Source organism: Homo sapiens, chromosome 3 (assembly GCF_000001405.40).
Source record: "Homo sapiens chromosome 3, GRCh38.p14 Primary Assembly".
NCBI classification, from domain to species: Eukaryota; Metazoa; Chordata; class Mammalia; order Primates; family Hominidae; genus Homo; species Homo sapiens.
In genome coordinates, this window is record NC_000003.12 from 112,521,710 (window position 1) to 112,525,442 (window position 3,733).

Sequence of the window (3,733 nt, forward strand, 5' to 3'; positions counted from 1 at the left end):
AACAGACAACAGATAAGGATACAGCATGGGCCGGGCACGGTTGCTCACGCCTGTAATCCCAGCACTTTGTGAGGCTGAGGTGCGTGGATCACCTGAGGTCAAGGGTTCAAGACCAGCCTGACCGACAGGGAGAAACCCCCGTCTCTACTAAAAATACAACATTAACTGGGCGTGCTAGCGCATGCCTGTAATCCCAGCTACTCAGGAGGTGGAGGCAGGAGAATCGCTTGAACCCAGGACGCAGAGGTTGCAGTGAGCCAAGATCGCACCATTACACTCCAGCCTGGGCAACAAGAGTGAAACTCTGTCTCAAAAAAACAAAAACAAAAAACCAGCATGATTTCAGGAGCAGAAAGAGAATAACTTAAAAACCAGCATAATGAGAAAGTTAGGAAGCTTCTTACCAAAGCATCTGGAAGTATGCAAGAAATTCTTGTGAACTAAAATTTTCGTGCTGTACTAGCAAACACTACAACTCACTTATTCCATCTTTCTGTATTTTGGGACCCAATTATCCACTTCTCTTCATTCCCTATCCCACCCCTTTTCTTCCTAGCGTCTGCTAACCACCTTTATACTCTCCACCTTCCTGAGATTCCTTTTGTGTGTATGTGTGTGATGGAGTCTCTTTCTGTTGCCCAGGTTGGAGTATACAGGCACAATCCGGGCTCACTGCAACCTCTGCCTCCAGAGTTCAAGGGATTCTTGGGCCTCAGCCTCCCGAGTAGCTGAGACTACAGGCACGCGTCACCACGCATGGCTAATTTTTTGTGTTTTTAGTAGAGACGGGGTTTCACCATGTTGGTCAGGCTGGTCTCGAACTCCTGGCCTCAAGTGATCCGTGCAACTCGGCCTCCCAAAGTGCTGGGATTACAGGCCTGAGCCACCACACCTGGCCAAGATTTTCTTTTTTGTTCCTACATGTAAGTGAGGACATGTAATATTTGTCATTCTGTTCCTGGCTTATTTCACTTAATATACAGACCTGAAATCTCATCCATTTTTTCTGCAGTGGAGAGGATTTTAGTCCTTTTTAGGCTGAATAATACTTCATTGTATGTGTATACCAGTTTAATTGACACAAATTTCTAAAAAGCAAATATTTTTAAAATGTCTCAGAATGTGAAACTTTAGGGATACTGTGCCCATTTTATTCTTTTCTATTTCCCATTTTATGGATATGCAAGTGTATAATAAAACAGCAATCAATGGGTGTATAAATCTATAACTTCAACAAATGTAAAATGAAAATGCTAAGTGGTGGCTGGGCGCTGTTGCTCACACCTGTAATCCCAGCACTTTGGGAGGCCGAAGCGGGCGGATCACCTGAGGTCGGGAGTTCAAGACCAGTCTGACCAACATGGAGAAACAGTCTGTACTAAAAAAAAAAAAAAAAAAAAAAAACAAAGTAGCTGGGTGTGATAGTGCATGCCTGTAATCCCAGCTACTTGAAAGGCTAAGAGAGGAGAATCGCTTGAATACGGGAGGCAGAGGTTGCAGTAAGCCGATATCATGCCATTGCACTCCAGCCTGGGCAACAACAGTGAAACTCTGTCTCAAAAAAAAAAAAAAAGAAAAAAGAAAAAAGAAAAAAAGAAAATGCCAAATGGTAAGAAAAAACAGCATAATAAAAATTTGTATGGTGTTGAAGAACAATGCATTTGAAGATAATATTTGAAGAAATCATATTACAATTAACTTCTGTTCTTACTCATTGGTTTGATGCCTCTAAAAACTTCATCACTGGAACCACCTCTGGTGCTTTAAAAAAAAAAAAAAAAAAAAAAAAAAAAATCCGCATACCCACACAGGTGCAAGTAAATCAGAATCTCAGGTCATGAGACCCAGGCCTCATCATTTGTAAGTGCCCCGGGTGATTTGATTCAAAGCCAAGATTGAGGACCCGTGACATGGATCTCTACACATAATCTGCCTAAATAGATTCTCTACAAGCAGTTTATAAAGAAGTTCCACATGAACTCTGGAAGAGGATATGAATTTGATGTACAGTATGTGCTCACTTAACATCTTTGAAAGTCTCTTGGAAACTTCACCTTTAAGCAAAATTATGGATAGTGAAACCACTTATTCCTCATCAACATTACAACTAAACAACTTTGAACAAAACAATGGTGTTGGAGGACCGGCTGTACATTGTTTCTATAAAGTCAATTTTCAGGGAATTCCAAAATGAAGTGAGGACTTCCTGTATATAAAAAGATGGTTGTGATTCCACATGGATGACAGGGTTATTGCTCAGAAACTAAAGGAGGCCGCCCAGGTATAGAGGATTCAGTCATGAGGTTTATGCTACACAAAAGATCCCAGAATACTCACCCATTCCAGTCAAAGACATAATGAAAAAAGCAATATTCACATAGGAAAAGTGGAAAGGAATAAAAGCCATCAAGCAACAAAAATAATGGGACTAAGGGGCAGGATTTGCAGATGTAGAGATTTAATGTGGTTGCCCTTTCTTACCCACACAAGAATAAGGATGGAACAGATCATGAGATTCGACTGTTCTGCTGCGCAGCCTCCACAGGGCGCTTTGAATGTCCCTGTTTCTCAGGCTGTAGATAAAAGAGTTCAGCATGGGGGTGCCCACAGCATACATCACTGACGCCACCACACCATTCCTGGGGGTGGTGACACAGCTGAAGTTAGGTACACGCCAATGCCTGTTCCATAAAATAAGCAAACAACTGCCAGGTGAGAGCCACAGATGGAGAAGGCTTTATACTTCCCATCTGACGATGAAATTCTTAGAATGGAGGGGACAATTTTATAGTAAGACAAAAGGATCCCTGAAATGGGAAGAAAACTGAACAGAATACTATCTAAATATATAAATATGCTATTGATGATGCCGTCAGAACAGGCAAGGTTGAGAAGTTGAGATGGATCACAGAAAAAATTAGAGATTTCCACATTCTTGAAGAAGGTGAATTGTAACACAATCCAACTGTGCAGCTGGGAATCCAACAGGCTAAGGAAAAAAGAAACCAAAACTAAGAAGACACAGAGGTGAGGATTCATGATGACTGGGTAGTGCAGGGGTGACAGATGGCCACAAATTGGTCATAGGCCATCACAGTCAGGAGCATGTCTTCTATACATGCAAAAAGGACAAAGAAAGACATCTGTGTCAGGCAGCCCGCTTAAGAGATGACTCTGCTATGCGACTGCATGTCCACAATCATCTTGGGAACCATGGCCGAGGTGAAACCAATGTCAGCCCAGGAGAGGTTGGAGAGGAAGAAGTACATGGGGGTGTGGAGGTGGGAGTCAGAGCTGACAGCCAGGATGATGAGCAGGTTCCTCAGCACCGTGACCAGGTACATGGACAGGGACAGCCCAGCGAGGACGGGCTGCAGTTCTGGATCCTCTGAGAGTCCCTGGAGAAGGAATTCTGAGACACTTGTGAGATTCTATGGCTCTGTGTGACTTGGACACCTCTTTTTTTGAGAAGAAAAGAGGATTGGAAAAATAAAAGATAAAAACCAGCCCTTAATGCTGTGTGTATATTTTGGATACAAGCAATTCACAAGGAACATTTTCACATTTGAGGACCATACACCGTCAGCAATATTTCTCAGTTGTGACAAACCCAGAAATCTCAGAATTATTACATGATTTACTTTTTTGCTATTCAACTCTTTCTGTACATACTTTAGAGCAAATCCACTGAAGAATGTTAGAAAACCAAAATGTAATATATAACAAATCCGTG

At 42.1% G+C, this 3,733-nt stretch overlaps 1 pseudogene, besides 1 other annotated feature; it reads right to left on the reverse strand.

Moving 5' to 3' along the window:
* Window positions 219-719: an enhancer, noted in NCBI's record as "H3K4me1 hESC enhancer chr3:112240775-112241275 (GRCh37/hg19 assembly coordinates)". NCBI's record gives its function as "activates a minimal SCP1, AML or CMV promoter by ChIP-STARR-seq in primed H9 embryonic stem cells {active_cell/tissue: H9 hESC(primed)}" and the evidence as "EXISTENCE:reporter gene assay evidence [ECO:0000049][PMID:30033119]".
* OR7E100P (olfactory receptor family 7 subfamily E member 100 pseudogene) lies at window positions 2,477-3,491 on the reverse strand (annotated as a pseudogene).